Source organism: Homo sapiens, chromosome 18, assembly GCF_000001405.40.
Source record: "Homo sapiens chromosome 18, GRCh38.p14 Primary Assembly".
In the NCBI taxonomy this organism is placed as follows: Eukaryota; Metazoa; Chordata; class Mammalia; order Primates; family Hominidae; genus Homo; species Homo sapiens.
Genome location: NC_000018.10, coordinates 80067005 through 80085983, shown reverse-complemented (window position 1 = coordinate 80085983; position 18979 = coordinate 80067005). Strand labels below are relative to the sequence as shown.

Sequence of the window (18979 nt, the reverse complement as noted above, 5' to 3'; positions counted from 1 at the left end):
GGGATTACAATGCAACATGAAATTTGGGTGGGGACACACAGCCAAACCATATCAGTATGTTTCTCCATGCTTTCATAAAGATGGTGCTCAATACTCCCTTAGCAGAACCTAGTGAGAAGATGCTTGAGCAGGACTCACTTGATAAATCAACATCATTTCTATCTCCTTAAGCCTTTAAATTCTTTCCTGTACATTAAATCAAGTGATGGATCTCAACTTCATTTAATGTGGCCACAAACTACTCCAGCTATGTTTTTCTAAAAGAATTCTAATTTGCATGTTTGTAGTCTGTTCTAGAGAGTGAGTGAGGGCCTGACCCGTTGCTTTTCCTAAGCAATGGATGGATGGGAACTTCTACTCCCAGGAGGGGTCCTAAGTGCTCACTGCTCTTTAGAAGCAGTGCTGCCAAGAACAAAGGATGCCAGTGCCAGGTGTATTAGTCCTTTCTCACATTGCTCTAAAGAAATACCTGAGACTGGATAATTTATAAAGAAAATAAGTTTAATTGGCTCATGGTTCTGCAGGCTGTACAGGAAGCACAATGCTGGCATTTGCTTGGCTTCTGGGGAGGCCTCAGAAAACTTACAATCATGGCGGAAGGTGAAGGGGGAGCAGGAACGTCTTACAGAGCAGGAACAAGAGAGAGAGCAAGGGGGAGGTGCTATACACTTTTAAACAACAAGATCTCGTGAGTACTCACCATCATGAGTACAGTGCCGAGGGGATGGTGCTAACCCGTTCATGAGAAATCCACCCCCATGATCCAATCACCTCCCACCAGGCCCCACCTCCAACATTTGGGATTAAAATTCAACAAGAGAGTTGGGCAGAAACACAGATCCAAACCACATCTCCAGGCCCATCAACTAACTAAGCAAACAGTCTTCCCAACTACTCACACTAACACATGGAGTCCAGAATATCTGCCAAGAACACGTGTATCAATAAATTCAGCCCAATCTAGCAGTTTTCCTCCTTCTCCAATACCAATAAAATTCATTTTTACACACTTTACTCATGTTTCTACTGATAACTAGGAAGAATCATTTTTTTTGTTTTTGTTTTTTGAGATAGGGTCTTGCTCTGTCACCCAGGCTGGAGTGCAGTGGCATGATCATGGCTCACTGCAGCCTCGACCTCCTGGGCTCTGGCAATCCTCCTGCCTCAGCCTCCTGAGTAGCTGGAAGCACAGGTGTGCACCACCACACCTGACTAATTTTTAAGTTACATGTAGAGATGGGATCTCCCTTTGTTCCTCTGGCTTGTCTTTAATTTCTGGGCCCAAGCAATCTTCCCCCTCAGCCTTCCAAAGTGCTAGGATTATAGGCATGAGCCAATGCACCTGGCCAGGAAAAAATGTTGTATAAGCCTCTTTCCCCCAGTCAGATTTCGCATTCATCCCCCTTGGTGTGCAGGGATCTGACTGTGGTGATGGGTCTGGAGGCAGCAAGAGGTTTTGGGTTTGCTTTGAGAATGACCTGCTCTTGCAAGCTAATTGCCTCAATGAGAACATTACAAAGTCTTCCACAAGGGGAGGCTGATCCACTCAGGTGGGAAAAGAGCACTGGCTTTCAACAGCAAAAGGAAGATGATGTGGAATTTGAGGTTCCAGTTTCTCATCTGCATCACAATCCACCCAGTGATTCCCGTTCCAATTCTTAGGGCCTGCTCTTTTCCAGTCAGTGTCCTAACTTCCCAGTAAAATGCCTGGAAAGGCTGTGATATCAATTTGTGTTGTTCTTCAACAACCAGAAGGATAAAATTTGGGTCTAGAAGACAGAGAAATGGCATTCCAGCTTGGGGCCTAGCCCGCTTGCCTTTCACACTAAATCAGAATAGTTTATGAAAGTTCCACTGACCTAGCAGGCATCCTTAGGACTCTGCACGCAGGAAATCCCTGCCTAGGGATTTTCAGGTAAAGGACATTGAGTCATTTCCCCATCAGCACTTCCACGGTTCCAGTCTCTCTAGGGCACTTTTCTAATTCCATTTTAGGCCCCTTTCCCTGCTCTTATTACTCTCAAGAGAGTTTCTAGCTGGGCATGGTGGCACGCAGTTATAATCCCAGCTACTCAGGAGTCCGAGGTAGGAGGATGGCTTGATCCCAGGAGTTTGAGGCTGCAGTGAGCCATGATCATGCCACTGCACTCCAGCCTGGATGACAGAGCAAGACCCTGTCTCTTTTAAGAAAAAGAATGTGATCGGGCATGGTGGCTCACGCCTGTTATCTCAGCACTTTGGGAGGCTGAGGCAGGTAGATCACAAGGTCAGGAGATCAAGACCATCCTGGCTAACACGGTGAAACCCCGTCTCTACTAAAAATACAAAAATTTAGCTGGGCGTGGTGGTGGGCACATGTAGTCCCAGCTACTCAGGAGGCTGAGGCAGGAGAACGGCGTGAACCTGGGAGGCAGAGCTTGCAGTGAGCTGAGATCGCGCCACTGCACTCCAGCCTAGGCGACAGAGTGAGATTCCATCTCAAAAAAAAAAAAAAAGAAAGAAAGAAAAGGAAAAGAATGTTTCTAGCTTTGAGCTCTCCTTTCTGGATCCTTCACCTCATTTATGTTCCCATCACCATTTTCTGTTTCCACTCCATGGGGAGTTATCTGGACAACCCCAAAGGGCCCCTCATCCCTCAGGGGATCTTCATGGGGCTTCTCTTGGAGATTTGCAATAAGTGTCCCTTAGAAACTCAGAGAAGTTCTGTAATTTTTTAAAAACACCTTCTAACATGTCAATTCATATTTTGTTTGATGACGTACTTTCTTTTTTTTTTTTTTTTTTTTTTTGAGACAGAGTTTTGCTTTGCTTTGTCGCCCAGGCTGGAGTGCAGTGGCACGATCTCGCCTCACTGCAAGCTCCACCCCCCGGGTTCACGCCATTCTCCTGCCTCAGCCTCCTGAGTAGCTGGGACTACAGGCGCCCACCACCACGCCCAGCTACTTTGTTTTTTTGTATTTTTTAGTAGAGATGGGGTTTCACCATGTTAGCCAGGGTGGTCCCGATCTCCTGACCTTGTGATCCACCTGCCATGGCCTCCCAAAGTGCTGGGATTACAGGCGTGAGCCACCGCGCCTGGCTTGATTTAGTACTTTCAAAGCCAGTATAAAGATCTGATCCTTTTTAGAAAGGTAGTAAAATGAAGAGACCCTATGTGAACAAATTAGACATAGAGGGAAAGACATAATTATTGCTGTACTTATCCCTTTCAAAGGGGAAGTACAGTCAGAGAAGAGGGGAAGGAGAACGGTTCCAAAACTGTCTGGTGTTTCAGAAAGCAACACTGATGGCTTAGATGGGAGAAGCTAACTGCAGGCGGGACATTCACAGCCTAGAGACACCAAGGTGGTAATTCACACCTACATCGTGAATAGCAGCTAAGAGTGAACTGCAACATGTAGAGCAGAAACAGCCTGGGACAAGCTCGAGGTCAAGAGAACAAACAGATTTAGAAAGGCAGAGCTCAGTCAGTGTTGCCCGTGCAGCCTTACCTCAGTGGGAGTGTTTTGCTTGCAAAAGGAGAGTAAAAACAGGTTGTTCTCCAAACAGCTTGTTTCCAGTAAGACAGTGAGCGCTCCTCTCCCGTCGACTGCCTGGGCTCCCCAGCCAGCATCTCAGATGCAGCACACGCTCTGGTGCCCAAGAGGATTCATCAAGTCAGTGGTTGTCTGGAAATTTCACACCCTTTGATAATAACAGCTCATCTTTGAGTGTGCCCCACCTGCCAGCACGGTGCCACCCCAGAGTCAGCCACAGGCCATGGGCCTGGCTGAGGTCACACAGGTGACGCCCCACCATTTCATTTCAGCTCATGCCACCAACAAGTGCTCTTTTCACGGCCCACATAGCGCCATATTCTTCACATTTCTGTGATTTTTGTTAGTGATTTTGCTGTTTAAAATGACCCCAAGCCCAGTACTGATGTACTGTCTAGCGTCCTAAGAGCAAGAGGCTGTGATGTGCCTCACAGAGAAATGTGAGATAGCTTTACTCAGGTGTGAGTTCCAGTGCTGTTGGCCATGGACTCAGTGTTAATGGGATCACCAATGTCTATTCAAAAAGGTGTCTTTAAACAGGAACATGCATAAGCAAGGTTATGTATTGATTGGTTGATGAAAATGTGACCAGAAGCTCGCAGGAACCTAGCCCTGTATTTCTCCAGAAGCAAGGGCTCTGTATCCACGAATTCAGTGTTCAGGTGACTTTATAGAACTAACTGTGGCAAATCACGAGAATCAACTGCATCTGCCTCCATTTTGCTCCACAGAGAAGCAAAGTGACAAGGAGGGCCCACAGAAAACAGCCAGCGCCCTCCAGTCCCACACAACCTGGTGTCCAGGGGCAGAGCCGCCTGTGCTATGCCTCATCCCAGCTACACTCAGATTTCCTTCGTGTTTCTGGTGATTCCCTCCTGTTTTCTCTGGTTCTCCAGAATAAAGTCTTCTAAGTTGTTTTAATCAGATTCATTCCCACCTTGATGAAGAACTAGTGAAACATTTGAGATTGCTGACCTCCTAGTGGTCTTTAAATTTTTTTTAAGGTGAATACACCTGTAGGCTCAGCATTTTGGGAGGCCAAGGAAGGGGGATTTCTCGAGTCCAGCAGTTTGAGACCAGCCTGGGCAACATAGCAAGCAAGACGTCACCTCTACCACAAAACAAAACAAAACAAAACAAAACAAAATAAAACATTTTGAGCCAAAAAAAAAGTCATTGTTGAAAAAATTGACTCACACATACTATAACCCAGATTCCCAAATTTAAAAAAGACAATTCACATTTCTCATATGAGGTAGAGAAGGGGAATTAATGTTTCATTCTCACACTGTACAGTCAACTGAACAATTTGCCTCTGTGGGTCCTGTGGGTCCAGGTCTTCAGCTGAGGCCCCTGGCAGCCTGCAAACCCTCCAGCCACCAGGCGCCTGAAGCAGCACAATCCACTGTCTGAGACTCCTGAACACTGCTCCTGTCAGCAACCCTGATGGTGGACGGTGTGATTGCCAACACAAAATGGCTGTTTGTGGAAACACATTAGCTGCAATTACCAACTGTCACAGGTCTTTCTTTGAAAGGAATCATTTTCACAAAAATCCAACATTAACATCAGCCTCTCCTTGGTCTCCAACATGCTCAGGTTAACCACAGTGATCCCAACTTCTGTTTCGTGTCACCTCTTGGCATACACACCCAAAATGTTGACTCCTGTGGGAACAAACACAAAGCGAAGTGCGAGACCATGGGAGGCGTTCATCGCAAGACGGCGGACTCCAATTTTGGCTGAATGTGTGGTGCAATTTGGAAATGATGCTTCCGATTCCCTTTTACTGCGTATGTCAGAACGATTTCCTGTTAACTAATATGATGTTCTCACTTTAGTTTTAGTATGTTTTAGTACAAATATCTAGGAACAAATTCTTCAATTGAACAATCTGAGAAACAAATTGCTCAACTGATCCAAGATCTGTCATTGTCTCATTCTACAGATGAGGAAATTGCAGCTCAGAGAGACGAAGGAAATTGGGAGACAGGGGTCTTACCCTATGAGTGCCGCAGCCTTCCAACACCAGACTTCAGCACCAAAACAGGGCCCGGTGTGGCCAGGCAAGGCAGAGCAAAAACCGGGCTCCTGACAAACACTCACACAAACTGGAGGAGGGATTTGGAGGGGCAGTTAAGACCCAAACTCCAATTTCAGCCAGTCTGTATCACAGTTTTACAATCTCATCTTTGACCTTTTTCTTCCTTCATATCTAATTTATCTTCATTTTCTGGGTTTTGTACAAGTTCTCAGCCATCATTAAATCACATTACAACTTCACCTACCACATCTTCTCTCCTTCCTTCCTCCTTTGAGGTACTCTCTTCCCTTCCTGTCATATAGACTTCTGACACCATGAAACTCTTCCCAAGTTGCCCGCTGTGATTAAAATAACTTTTAACTCCTTGGACCACCATCTCTCTGCTGCTCACTTTTTGCTGTTCTCTTCCATGAAGTGCTGGTTCCAAGCACCAAAAACAAACTCACATTCAGAAGTAAATTTTGTTCATTAATATACAAGGACACTCTTCCATTTGAGTTTGTTTTCTAAAAGACCACATAAGACTGCTGCTTTCTGAATTGTTTAAGGGGAAAGTTTACAACTGCATTTTAAAATAAAATAAAATGAGGCTCACATTGAGAACTCAGACTCTGAGGCTCCGCTGGGTAGGTGGCTCCCGCACGGCAGGAACGCGTTCAACACACACAGGCCAGGCACGGCCACAGCTGCATTTGTGTTCATCGTCCACAGGATGCACTGCCAACGAAGATGAACGTGAAATGAGGGCCGGGAACTTGTGAAGCTAGTAATTCACAAAAATTCAAAGTATATATTTTGCATGGAAAACAAGGCAAAACTGTATAATACCTAATTCAGAACTTGTCCCTTATCATAATTGTCATATTTTTAATAAATTTTACTTCTTTTCCTAAAAAAGCAGAATGCTTGCCATTTTTCAAACATGCACTTAACTTTTAAGATAGAAACGGTTTCCCTGTACCTCTGTCCACCCTCACATATTTTATGCGCAGCCTCGTTTGTGTGATGCAATGTGAGGTTTCTCTTATGTGGACTCTCACTTCTTTTCACTTCCTCAGTGATTTTCTCCTATCCTTCTCTTTGGTTTTACTGTTCTTTAATGCTAAATTATAAAATTAGAAGCAAAAGTGTTGTCTGGCCTTGCCCTGGTACACTGCTAGTGCTCACCAATAAGTATAAACCGACTCTGTTTTGTCCATGTGTGGTTTTGGGTCAGGGCTACTCTACCCATTCTGGGATCCGCTGTCCCTTGATAGCTGCCTGAGGGGCTGGGGAACACTCCGAAGGGTGTGGTACAAAGAGCAGCCCATGGCTGAGAATGAATCCCTATTTCTGTGTCAGCTCTGATACCTGCTGGGCCAGCCGACCACATCAGACCAAAATCATGGGCTTTCTTCCTCTCTCCAGCTAAGTAAATGATAACCGTGCATCCCAGTGTCCACTTAAAAACCCCAGAGCCTTGCTCTCGCTGTTGAAAGAGCTGAGTGTGCCCTTGGGCATTAGCTGCCTTCACTCTCAAGGTACAGAGGAAATCGGTGAGGCCAGCCTTGGAAGACCCCCTGGTGGGGTGCAGTGTGGGTGCCTTCCTTCCTTCTCCTTCCTTCCTTCTCCACTTCACCAACTCTTTCACAGCCAGCAAGGGCCCCTGTACTCAATTTCTTTGTCCTGTCCTAGTAACTCCACTGTTGGACGACTCCATTGTTTTTATTTTCTGGTGTTCTACATCCTGTTTTTACTGTTCTGTGGCAGACCCCCAACGTAGAACATAATTGCAAGTACTCGGTGGTGCCAAAGAGCAGTTAGTGCCTAAGTACAGACGGGAAACACGATTCTTTTGTTTTAAGTAAAAACTTAAACATTGCCCAGGTCCTACAAGCATCCAGACTCTAGGTCTGAGTAGCGGAGTGCCCCTCCCGTGGGCCCACAAGGACCCCTGGGTTCCCGCCCTGAGGTGATCAAGATATGGAACCGAAGCCACAGTTGGATCACGAGACATCCCTTTTCTAGAGCCTTTCCCAGCCCTCTACAGGCAGGATCCACCGGGAAAAAGATGACTGGAATTTCTCGAAGGTCAATGGTCTGCACAGTTGAGGATTCTGTGTGGTTCTCTTGGTTCCCTTGGTGTCTGGAGGAGGCCAGGGCCCTTAGATGACCTTTCAGCTCCTCACACAGGACCAGCGAGAGGGGCCCCCAGGCCTGAGGACGCCGGCCCAGCGCCCTGGAAGAAGGCCTTGTCTCCTCATCTTTAACGGTCTTTCCCCAACAGCCGAGGGTGCCGTGTACGTGATGTGAGCTGCTCTGAGCCCAGGCTGCACCATCGTCTGCCACACCGCGTGGAAGGGGTGGGAGCTGCAGCCACGGTGGTCGTCCATCTCCCACCACGGGCTCTTGGCATCCGGGAGCTCGCCCTTGGCTGAATTCTTCATGCTGGGGTCGGCGGCCGGTAGGTGATGGTGTCCTGCATGGAGATGCTGAAGCCCTGGAGGCCCTGGAGCCCGTCGGACTTGGTGACCTTCACCAGGCAGTGTCCCAGGCCTCAGAACTCAGCTCTGTGCCCAACTTCCCGACATCGGCTGCCAGGCAGGTCTGGCGAAATCCAGGGGGTACAGGAAGCAAAGGAAGGTGGCACCGGCCGCCGGAGGCCAGGCTGCCCACCAGGTACCTCCAGAGCCGTGTGTGCCTGTCCATGCCCCCCAGGGAACAGCTCACAAGTGAGCCAGTGAAAGAATCCTTGATCCCTAGTAACCAAGAACCAGGGACACCCAGGCCACTCAAAGGAAGCACAAAGCCCCGGGAACACCACACCAGGAAAATCAGGAAAATCTCCCCTCATGACAAAGGAGAAGGTCTGAGGTCGCCAGAAAAAACCATGAAAATCAACGAAAAGCTAAACATTTCAGGCTTTTTGTTTGTTTTTTAGAGACAGGGTTGTTGTCGCCCAGGCCGGAATACAGTGGCACAATCACAGCTCACTGTTGCCTCGAACTCTGGGACTCAAGCAATTCTCCTGCCTCAGCCTCCCAAATAGCTGGGACTATAGGTCCCTGCCACCAGGCCCAGCTAATTTTTTTTTTTTTTTTTTTTTTTGGAGATTGGGTTTTGCTATGTTGCCTCGGCTGGTGGCCAACTCCTGACCTCAAGCAATCCTCTGCCTCAGCCTCCCAAAGTGCTCGGATTACAGGCATGAGCCACCACACCAGGCCCTTCAGTTTTCTTTAAGAGGCATATTCCAAATAAACATTAGAATATTTCAAAAGTATTGGTTTGTGTCAAAATCATTTTTCGTTTTTTCAGAACACACTTCTATAAGCAACAAATGCCGCTATGGTCCAAATGTCTCCCCAGATTCATGTGTTGAAATGTGATTAGCAATGTGATAGTATTAAGAGGTGGGGCCCTTAGGGGTGACTGAGTCACAAGGGCAGAGCCTTCAGGAATGGGATTTGTGACTTTATGAAAGGGCTGGCGGGAACTAGGCAGGCCCTTTTTCCCTTCCACCTTCCACCACGTGAGGACACAGCAACAAGGGGCCATCCTGGAGGCAGAGAGCAGCCCTCCCCAGACCTCAGAGCTGCAGGGCCCTGATCTTGGTCTTCCAGCCTCCAGAACTGTGAGAAATAAATTGATGTTGTTTGTAAGTTATCCAGTCTCAGATATTTTATTATAAAAGCATAAACAGACCGAGACAGAAGCCCAAGTATGATCAACTTAACCTTGGAGTCTTTTCTGTTGACATTCTTATTACCGAGCTTCCACACGTAAAGAGCAGTCACAGTCACATGAAGGCCGGGCTGCCGGACTGAGGAAGACAGGGAGGAACCTCCTGAGCAGCGGGTCCCAGCCTCTTTGGCACCAGAGACGGGTTTTGTGGAGGACAATTTTTTCACCGACAGCAGGGGCAGGGGGACGGTTTTGGGGTGATTCAAGTGCATTCATTTATTGTACACTTTATGTCTTTGTTATTACATTATAATATATAATAAAATAATTATACAACTCACCATTACATAGAATCAGTGGGACCCGTGAATTTGTTTTCCTGAAACTAGATGGTCCCATCTTGGGGTGATGGGAGACAGTGACAGATCATCAGGCATTAGATTCTCATAAGGAGTGTGCAACCTAGATCCTCGCAGGCACAGTTCACGATAGGGTTCGTGCTCCTCTGAGAACCTACTGCACCACAGATATGACAGGAGGCAGAGCTCAGGCAGTATCACCAGCGAAGGGGAGTGGCTGTAAATACAGAGGAAGCTTTGCTCACTCTCCCACTGCTCACCTTCTGCTGTGCAGCCCAGTTCCTAACAGGCCATGGACGGGTAGCAGTCCTTGGTTAGGAACCCCTGCTCTAGAGCATTCCATCAGAAAAGGAGGGAGGCAGCCGCTGCTCGACAAAGCAGAGGAGGAGTGCAGTGCTCTGGGACCCTGTGCTCTGGGACCCTGTGCTCTGGGACCCTGTGCTCTGGGATTCTGTGCTCTGGGACCCTGTGCTCTGGGACCCTGTGCTCTGGGATTCTGTGCTCTGGGACCCTGTGCTCTGGGATTCTGTGCTCTGGGACCCTGTGCTCTGGGATTCTGTGCTCTGGGACCCTGTGCTCTGGGATTCTGTGCTCTGGGACCCTGTGCTCTGGGATTCTGTGCTCTGGGACCCTGTGCTCTGGGACCCTGTGCTCTGGGATTCTGTGCTCTGGGACCCTGTGCTCTGGGATTCTGTGCTCTGGGACCCTGTGCTCTGGGACCCTGTGCTCTGGGACCCTGTGCTCTGGGACCCTGTGCTCTGGGATTCTGTGCTCTGGGACCCTGTGCTCTGGGACCCTGTGCTCTGGGATTCTGTGCTCTGGGACCCTGTGCTCTGGGATTCTGTGCTCTGGGACCCTGTGCTCTGGGATTCTGTGCTCTGGGACCCTGTGCTCTGGGATTCTGTGCTCTGGGATTCTGTGCTCTGGGACCCTGTGCTCTGGGATTCTGTGCTCTGGGACCCTGTGCTCTGGGACCCTGTGCTCTGGGATTCTGTGCTCTGGGACCCTGTGCTCTGGGACCCTGTGCTCTGGGACTCTGTGCTCTGGGACCCTGTGCTCTGGGACTCTGTGCTCTGGGACCCTGTGCTCTGGGACCCTATGCTCTGGGACTCTGTGCTCTGGGACCCTGTGCTCTGGGACTCACTGCTCTGGGACTCTGTGCTCTGGGACCCTGTGCTCTGGGACTCACTGCTCTGGGACTCTGTGCTCTGGGACCCTGTGCTCTGGGACTCACTGCTCTGGGACTCTGTGCTCTGGGACCCTGTGCTCTGGGACTCACTGCTCTGGGACTCTGTGCTCTGGGACCCTGTGCTCTGGGACTCTGGAATCACACACAGCAGAGTGGACCCAGAACTGAGGACACAGCACAGCACACAGGCCCGACTCACAATGGCCTGACTCACAACGGGTCAACTGTACTAGAGCGTGAAAGCCATCTGCATTCAGTAATGCCCCTCTCACAAGGGGGTCCTGTCAGCGTAGAGGCCATTGCCATCGTAAGTGGAGCAGCATCTGTGTAGTTCAAAGATGTTTCCACTCAGGAATGCTAACCAAAAGCCACGGTAGGCTGCAGTGTGTTACTGGGAGATACTCATGACAATGTCCTTGTTTACACAGAGTCTACATCACAAAACGCCTAATTTTAGTGATACTCTCCCCAAACAGTCAGACACAAAACTTCCACACGTACTTACTTCATTCCAGTAATGATCTTAATGAACAAGTTTTCACTGAGAAATATCAGAGCACAGCCCTCACGTAATGCTCACTTGGGAACCCCTAGGCAACGCTCCACATTTGGGACCACTTCAAAATAAAGAACACCTATGTACAAAATCCCCCACACTTCTGTGACAACAGACATCAGCCTCCAATGCCGAGAAAATTACATGAGCTACCATTTCCCCTTCAGCCCATCTTAAAGGAGACAGGAGCAGTGTGTTCCCATCAGCAGCAGCTCCAGGCTGGGCGCCACAGCTCACTCCTGTAGTCCCAGCGCTGTGGGAGGCCGAGGTGGGAGGATCACTTGAGGCCAGGAGTTGGAGACCAGCCTGGGCAACACAGCAAGACCCCATTTCTTAAAAAAAAAAAAAAAGTTAGCAGGGCATGGTGGTGCGCACCTGTAGTCCCAGCTACTTGGGAGGCTGAGGTGAGAGGACTAATTGAGCCCAGGAGGTCAAAGCTGCAGTGAGCCATGATTGCACCACTGCACTTCAATCCGGGTGACAGAGCCAGACCCTGTCTTGAACAACAACAAAAGTACCAGCTCCAATCCCTGTCATGGGGTTTTTCCCATTTTACTCTGAGAGACTAGCTGGCAGCAACAGTGATCCCACAGCACCCTGGCCATCCCTGCTGGCACCCAGGTCCTCCCGGACAGGTCCACAGGGTCTTTCTTACGTGCACAGAGCCTCACTCATGCCAAAGGTGAGGCACACAGGCCCCGGGCTCTCCTTACACTCGGCACTAGCCTGCTTCAGGGCCACTTGGGATTGCTTTCTGTACGAAGAAGGGTGGCTAGGATGTAAGGCTACTCCCAGCCCTGAAAGTTAGTTTCAACTTTGGGGAGGCAGTATTTAATGTGTTCTGAAACCTTAAAGCCAGTCCACAAAAATGTCCAACTGGATCCATAAATGGGACATCTGTCATTGGATCACAAACTTCTCAACAGCCCAGAGTCTGCAGAACATCCCTCAAATCTGTTGGCAAGCAGAACAGCACTCAGGGTAGGTGAGCAGGGTCTTGCTGCTGGGCGCCGGCCTGCAGGCTTGCACAGTGGTGTAGGCAGCACAGCAGCCCAGGCAGCACAGGGAACCCTCCCGGGGGGTGACCAGCAGGTGTGCACAGGGAACCCTCCCGGGAGGCGACCAGCAGATGTGCACAGCGAACCCTCCCGGGGGCGACCAGCAGGTCTGCACAGGGAACCCTCCCAGGGGCGACCAGCAGGTGTGCACAGGGAACCCTCCCGGGGGGTGACCAGCAGGTGTGCACAGGGAACCCTCCCGGGAGGCGACCAGCAGGTGTGCACAGCGAACCCTCCCGGGGGCGACCAGCAGGTGTGCACAGGGAACCCTCCCGGGGCGACCAGCAGGTGTGCACAGGGAACCCTCCCAGGGGCGACCAGCAGGTGTGCACAGGGAACCCTCCCGGGGGGTGACCAGCAAGGTGTGCACAACGAGCTCTGGTGGGGGGTGGGGGGCGGGGGGGCGACCAGCAGGTGTGCACAGGGAACCCTCCCAGGGGCGACCAGCAGGTGTGCACAGGGAACCCTCCCAGGGGCGACCAGCAGGTGTGCACAGGGAACCCTCCCAGGGGCGACCAGCAGGTGTGCACAGGGAACCCTCCCAGGGGCGACCAGCAGGTGTGCACAGGGAACCCTCCCAGGGGCGACCAACAGGTGTGCACAGCGAACCCTCCCGGGGGCGACCAACAGGTGTGCACAGCGAACCCTCCTGGGAGGTGACCAGCAGGTGTGCACAGGGAACCCTCCCGGGGGCCGACCAGCAGGTGTGCACAGGGAACCCTCCCGGGGGGTGACCAGCAGGTGTGCACAGGGAACCCTCCCGGGGGGTGACCAGCAGGTGTGCACAGGGAACCCTCCCGGGGGCCGACCAGCAGGTGTGCACAGGGAACCCTCCCGGGGGCGACCAGCAGGTGTGCACAGGGAACCCTCCCGGGGGCGACCAACAGGTGTGCACAGGGAACCCTCCCGGGAGGTGACCAGCAGGTGTGCACAGGGAACCCTCCCGGGGGGTGACCAGCAGGTGTGCACAGGGAACCCTCCCAGGGGTGACCAGCAGGTGTGCACAGGGAACCCTCCCAGGGGCGACCAGCAGGTGTGCACAGGGAACCCTCCCGGGGGGTGACCAGCAGGTGTGCACAGGGAACCCTCCCGGGGGGTGACCAGCAGGTGTGCACAGGGAACCCTCCCGGGGGGTGACCAGCAGGTGTGCACAGGGAACCCTCCCGGGGGCCGACCAGCAGGTGTGCACAGGGAACCCTCCCAGGGGTGACCAGCAGGTGTGCACAGGGAACCCTCCCAGGGGCGACCAGCAGGTGTGCACAGGGAACCCTCCCGGGGGGTGACCAGCAGGTGTGCACAGGGAACCCTCCCGGGGGCCGACCAGCAGGTGTGCACAGGGAACCCTCCCGGGGGCCGACCAGCAGGTGTGCACAGGGAACCCTCCCGGGGGCGACCAGCAGGTGTGCACAGGGAACCCTCCCGGGGGCGACCAACAGGTGTGCACAGGGAACCCTCCCGGGAGGTGACCAGCAGGTGTGCACAGGGAACCCTCCCGGGGGGTGACCAGCAGGTGTGCACAGGGAACCCTCCCAGGGGTGACCAGCAGGTGTGCACAGGGAACCCTCCCAGGGGCGACCAGCAGGTGTGCACAGGGAACCCTCCCGGGGGGTGACCAGCAGGTGTGCACAGGGAACCCTCCCGGGGGGTGACCAGCAGGTGTGCACAGGGAACCCTCCCAGGGGCGACCAGCAGGTGTGCACAGGGAACCCTCCCGGGGGCCGACCAGCAGGTGTGCACAGGGAACCCTCCCAGGGGTGACCAGCAGGTGTGCACAGGGAACCCTCCCAGGGGCGACCAGCAGGTGTGCACAGGGAACCCTCCCGGGGGGTGACCAGCAGGTGTGCACAGGGAACCCTCCCGGGGGGTGACCAGCAGGTGTGCACAGGGAACCCTCCCAGGGGCGACCAGCAGGTGTGCACAGGGAACCCTCCCGGGGGCCGACCAGCAGGTGTGCACAGGGAACCCTCCCAGGGGTGACCAGCAGGTGTGCACAGGGAACCCTCCCAGGGGCGACCAGCAGGTGTGCACAGGGAACCCTCCCGGGGGGTGACCAGCAGGTGTGCACAGGGAACCCTCCCGGGGGGTGACCAGCAGGTGTGCACAGGGAACCCTCCCAGGGGCGACCAGCAGGTGTGCACAGGGAACCCTCCCGGGGGCCGACCAGCAGGTGTGCACAGGGAACCCTCCCAGGGGTGACCAGCAGGTGTGCACAGGGAACCCTCCCAGGGGCGACCAGCAGGTGTGCACAGGGAACCCTCCCAGGGGCGACCAACAGGTGTGCACAGCGAACCCTCCCGGGGGGTGACCAGCAGGTGTGCACAGGGAACCCTCCCAGGGGCGACCAGCAGGTGTGCACAGGGAACCCTCCCGGGGGGTGACCAGCAGGTGTGCACAGTGAGCCCTCCCGGGGGGTGACCAGCAAGTGTGCACAGTGGTCCAGGTAGCACCATGCACCCTCCTGGGAGTGACCACCTGAGGCTGGCATGGCAGCGATGAAGGCAAATGCAGGCTTCGTCCATGACTGGCTGCCCCCTCACCTCAAGATCAAAGCTGCAAACCCTGGATCCACCTACAGTGGTGCTGTTGTTGGTGATATATTCAGAGCTTTCAGTCCAGACTTCTTGCTTTTCCATGTAAATGTAAGGCTTTGTATTGTAATACCTTGGGTATCCCAAGGTTTAGTCTTGTGAAATTTTACCTTCTCTAGAGCTGTCCTTTTGAAGTATTTGAGTTATAAAAAAAAGACAACAAAGTTTATATATTTAACACAATAGTGGGTTTAGCACAATGTGATGCCGATAGAGAAACATGATACATTTGTGATAAGGAGCAACTCTCTTTATTCCAATATCTAACGTGAAAAATCTACTCTGCGTCAGCTAATATTCCACAGATATTCTGAGCACAACTACAAAAATAACTTGATTAGAAGTCCATGTCTTGCCAACTAATTTTTCACTGAACACAAAATGGGGGCCTTCCAAAAAGAAAATTTGGTTTCCAAATAGGTCATTTCTTTTTTAAAATTAATTAATTTGTTTATTTTTATTTATTTTTATTTTTTTGAGACAGAGTCTCACTCTGTTACCCAGGCTGGAGTGCAGTGGCATGATCTTGGCTCACTGCAACCTCCGCCTCCTGGGTTCAAACAATTCTCCTGCCTCAGCCTCCTGAGTAGCTGGGATTACAGGCACCCACCACCACACCTGGCTAATTTTTGTATTTTTAGTAGAGACGGGGTTTCACCATGTTGGTCAGGCTGGTCTCGAACTCCTGACCTCGTGATCTGCCCGCCTCTGCCTCCCACAGTGCTGGGATTTCAGACGTGAGCCACCACGCCCAACCTAAAAATAGGACATTTCTTTAGAGGTTTCAAGAATTTTACGTAATCATGGGTTCATAGAAAAACTATCCCAAATTATCTAATGTACTGCTATATTTTATGATACTCTTGATAATTTTTTAAAAAGTCATCTTAAGATGTTTATTTCTATAGAAGTATTTTGCTCACTTCTAGTTACTATTTATTCCATGTTGAGTTTTATTTTATACAATCATCCATTTTCCTTTATCAAACCATTCCCAAGCAAAATCAAAGAAAAACCCAGTGTAGGCTTAAGTCAAACCAAGCTGTTAAGGCAAAGAGTCGATATACGAACAGTCCAAAGTACTCACTGAAAATTATGCGAAGCCATTCTAAAAATATAATGAGTGCAAATCCCATTGTTATTCACATTCTTGAGAAAAATAACTGGTGAACTTCAATGATCAGGTCTTCATCCACCTTGAAAGAGAAAAAGAGAAAGGAATTTACCATGGTATTTACAAATGCCACCCTAACCTAGCATTCAAAATAAAAGAGACAGTCTGGGTGCGGGGACTCACGCCTGTAATCCCAGCACTTTGAGAGGCTGAGGCGGGTGGATTGCTTAAGGCCAGGAATTGAAGATCAGCCTGGGCAACACAGAGAGACCCTGTCTCTAATAAAAACAATAGTTATAAAAATAAAAATGAAAATAAAAGAGGTATGACCAGAATGCTGTTTGCCCCCCTTACAGATTTTTCATTCCATCTACATTTTGCTTTGCAATTTGAGAATAGAAGGATCTGCCCATTTAAGAAAAACATGCCATTCTGATGTTTAAAAGGCTCTGAAAGAAAGAAATTTCCTGTACTGGGCCTATCTAGCTGAGTGGGACACAACTAAGTCCATATTGGGCACCCAGGGAATTCAGCCCTTACTAGATATTCGCTCTTATTAATATTATTATTCCAGACCTGATTCTCTGAAGTTACAGAGTATTCATATTGATTTTAATATTTTAGAATTTTGTTTAAAAGGTTCATCTTCACAATACTGCTCTGGTTACAACCGTGACTTTTCCTCATTCCCATTGTGTTCCCGCAGAGAATAGGGTGCAGGGTAAGTCCCCACAAGGGTATGGCTGGGTCAAAGGGCGAATGTGTTTGGGATTCCAGCAGACACCACGGGCCACTCCCCTAGGGAGGACACCCCACCCGCCAGCAATGCAGAAGGGCATGTCACAACAACGCTGCTTTCAAACATGTTATTTGTCACCTCTCCAATAGCAGAAAAATAACTCCTTTTCCTTTTCTTTCACTGTGTCCCTTTCTGGAGCCCTTGCTAGTTAGGACCACATCCAGTACTTGCACCCTGGGGTTCATGAGCTCCCCGTCCTAACTGAGCCTCATTCTGAGCTGCCAGCAAGGCTACCAAAAATTTCAAGCAGAAGAGAGGATTTCAGTTGGTGCAAACAGGAGCGGCTGCTCATTCCACAGATCCAGGGCAGGGCCATCCCAACAGGCAACAGTGAACTCGAAGGGTAAATCTGACTTGGCCAAGGGCATGGGGATTAGAGCCTAATCCAGTAAGACAGTGGCCACTTCTGTGATCGAGAAGCATCAGGGAGAATGATGCTAATAACTAAGAAAATGAAAGAAAAGCAGGGATTAGAAACTACATTTGCCACATGTAACTTTTATAGTGATGATACGTCCACATTTCAACGTCTCACCCTCATTCTACCGGGAGCCATACTGAGGACAGAGTTCTTGGGAGATAGAATAATATGGTGATATTTTGGAATGGCATATTCTAATGAGGAGGAAAACATTTAAATTTTTGAGTTTTAATTAAATGAATATGTATTTAATAACTAATGCCTAAGGCTGCACACCTGTCAGATCTACTTACTCTCCTCAATATGGAATCTTTTCTTACATTACAAAAACAATACCTTTCTTGAAAAATTCACACTACATAAAAGTATATAAGGCAGCACCTGAACCTCCTCAACGCTACAACCTCCATAATCTCATCCTCAGGGAGGGTTCTGTGCTCCTCCCAGACCTTTGTGTGCAACAAAAACAGCCAAAGCCCAACAGGTACATCTGAGCTGCACCCTCCAGGCCTGTCCGTTTGCCAACGGGCGCATCTGAGCTGGGTCCTCCAGGCCTGTCCATTTGCCAACGGGTGCATCTGAGCTGCGCCCTCCAGGCCTGTCCATTTGCCAACGGGTGCATCTGAGCTGCGCCCTCCAGGCCTGTCCGTTTGCTCTTACCCTTTGGAGACTGCGTTGCCATCCCCAGTTCACAGAGGAATGGACCCCCATCCACCCAGCTTTCACCTCCAGGTAGATTTTGACCCACTTAACTGTAGCATATTTAAGTTGTGCAATAGAAGAAAACAGACAAGCTGTTATATTTCTCTTCCGAGATATCCAGTTTTCTTATTTCCAGATCCTATACTACACTAAGTCAAGAGTTCAAAAAAACAATACAAGGGAAGTATTTCTCATTAAAAGATTATGTTTATATAACAGTCTTTAAATGGTCGACTTTCAGAATTGCAGCAAGAGCAGAACTGGACACCCAACAGGTCTTGTTTGTTCCCACACAGTTACCAAGCTTGAAGGACGGCCCTGGAAGGGGGCTGCCTACCTTGGTGGGCCTCATAATCGGCCTGCAGAATCTTCCAGGCATACTGGTCTGCAGGCCCCTGAGCAGGACCTCTGGGGCCCCCACTCCAGGTCATCGTCTTGCCCTGGCCGCCCTTCTCGGCTCAACTCTCCCCTTCCTGCCATGCTTGCCAGCTCCAGGGGTGGTGTCCTCTGTAGCCCCCAACTCCTCCCATCTCCCCTTTCTCCAGGCCCCAGCCCTTCCACTCCCGGGAACACCTCCTTGTCTTTCACTGGCCACTTTCTGCATGGTGTGGAACCTCTGCAGACGGGCTTCTGCGCCCCACACACTCACCGTGTGCAGCTTCTCCTGCTCCGAGCCCCCAACTGAGTTCTGGGGCAGGAACGTGTGTGCAGCCAGGCCCCAGCACCTCCTCACCCAGGCCTAGGCAGGTGAGCAGCCCCAACAGGCGTCGTGATCCTCAATCACAGCTGCAGCCTTCAGTGCCTACGCCTCTCTGTCTTCTCTCCATTTTCCAAAGCCATAGAGGACCATCAGAAAACATCCAAAAACAAAAAGATCAACTAAAGCTCTCTCCCAACACTGCCCAGCCTTACCTGGGTGCTTTCTTCAAGGCGAAGGTCCTATACCGGCCTCT

General features: G+C 50.7%; 1 long non-coding RNA gene and 1 pseudogene across 1 annotated transcript; both read right to left on the bottom strand.

The window, feature by feature from the left end:
• Positions 1-4679: 4679 nt before the first annotated feature.
• Positions 4680-18728, bottom strand: RBFADN (RBFA downstream neighbor). The gene is made up of 4 exons (NR_103445.2): positions 18676-18728; positions 16078-16186; positions 6176-6297; positions 4680-5203 (listed from the first exon to the last, which is right to left on the bottom strand). It is a non-coding gene; the product is annotated as an RBFA downstream neighbor (long non-coding RNA).
• SLC25A6P4 (solute carrier family 25 member 6 pseudogene 4) lies at positions 7735-8277 on the bottom strand (annotated as a pseudogene).
• Positions 18729-18979: the final 251 nt, after the last annotated feature.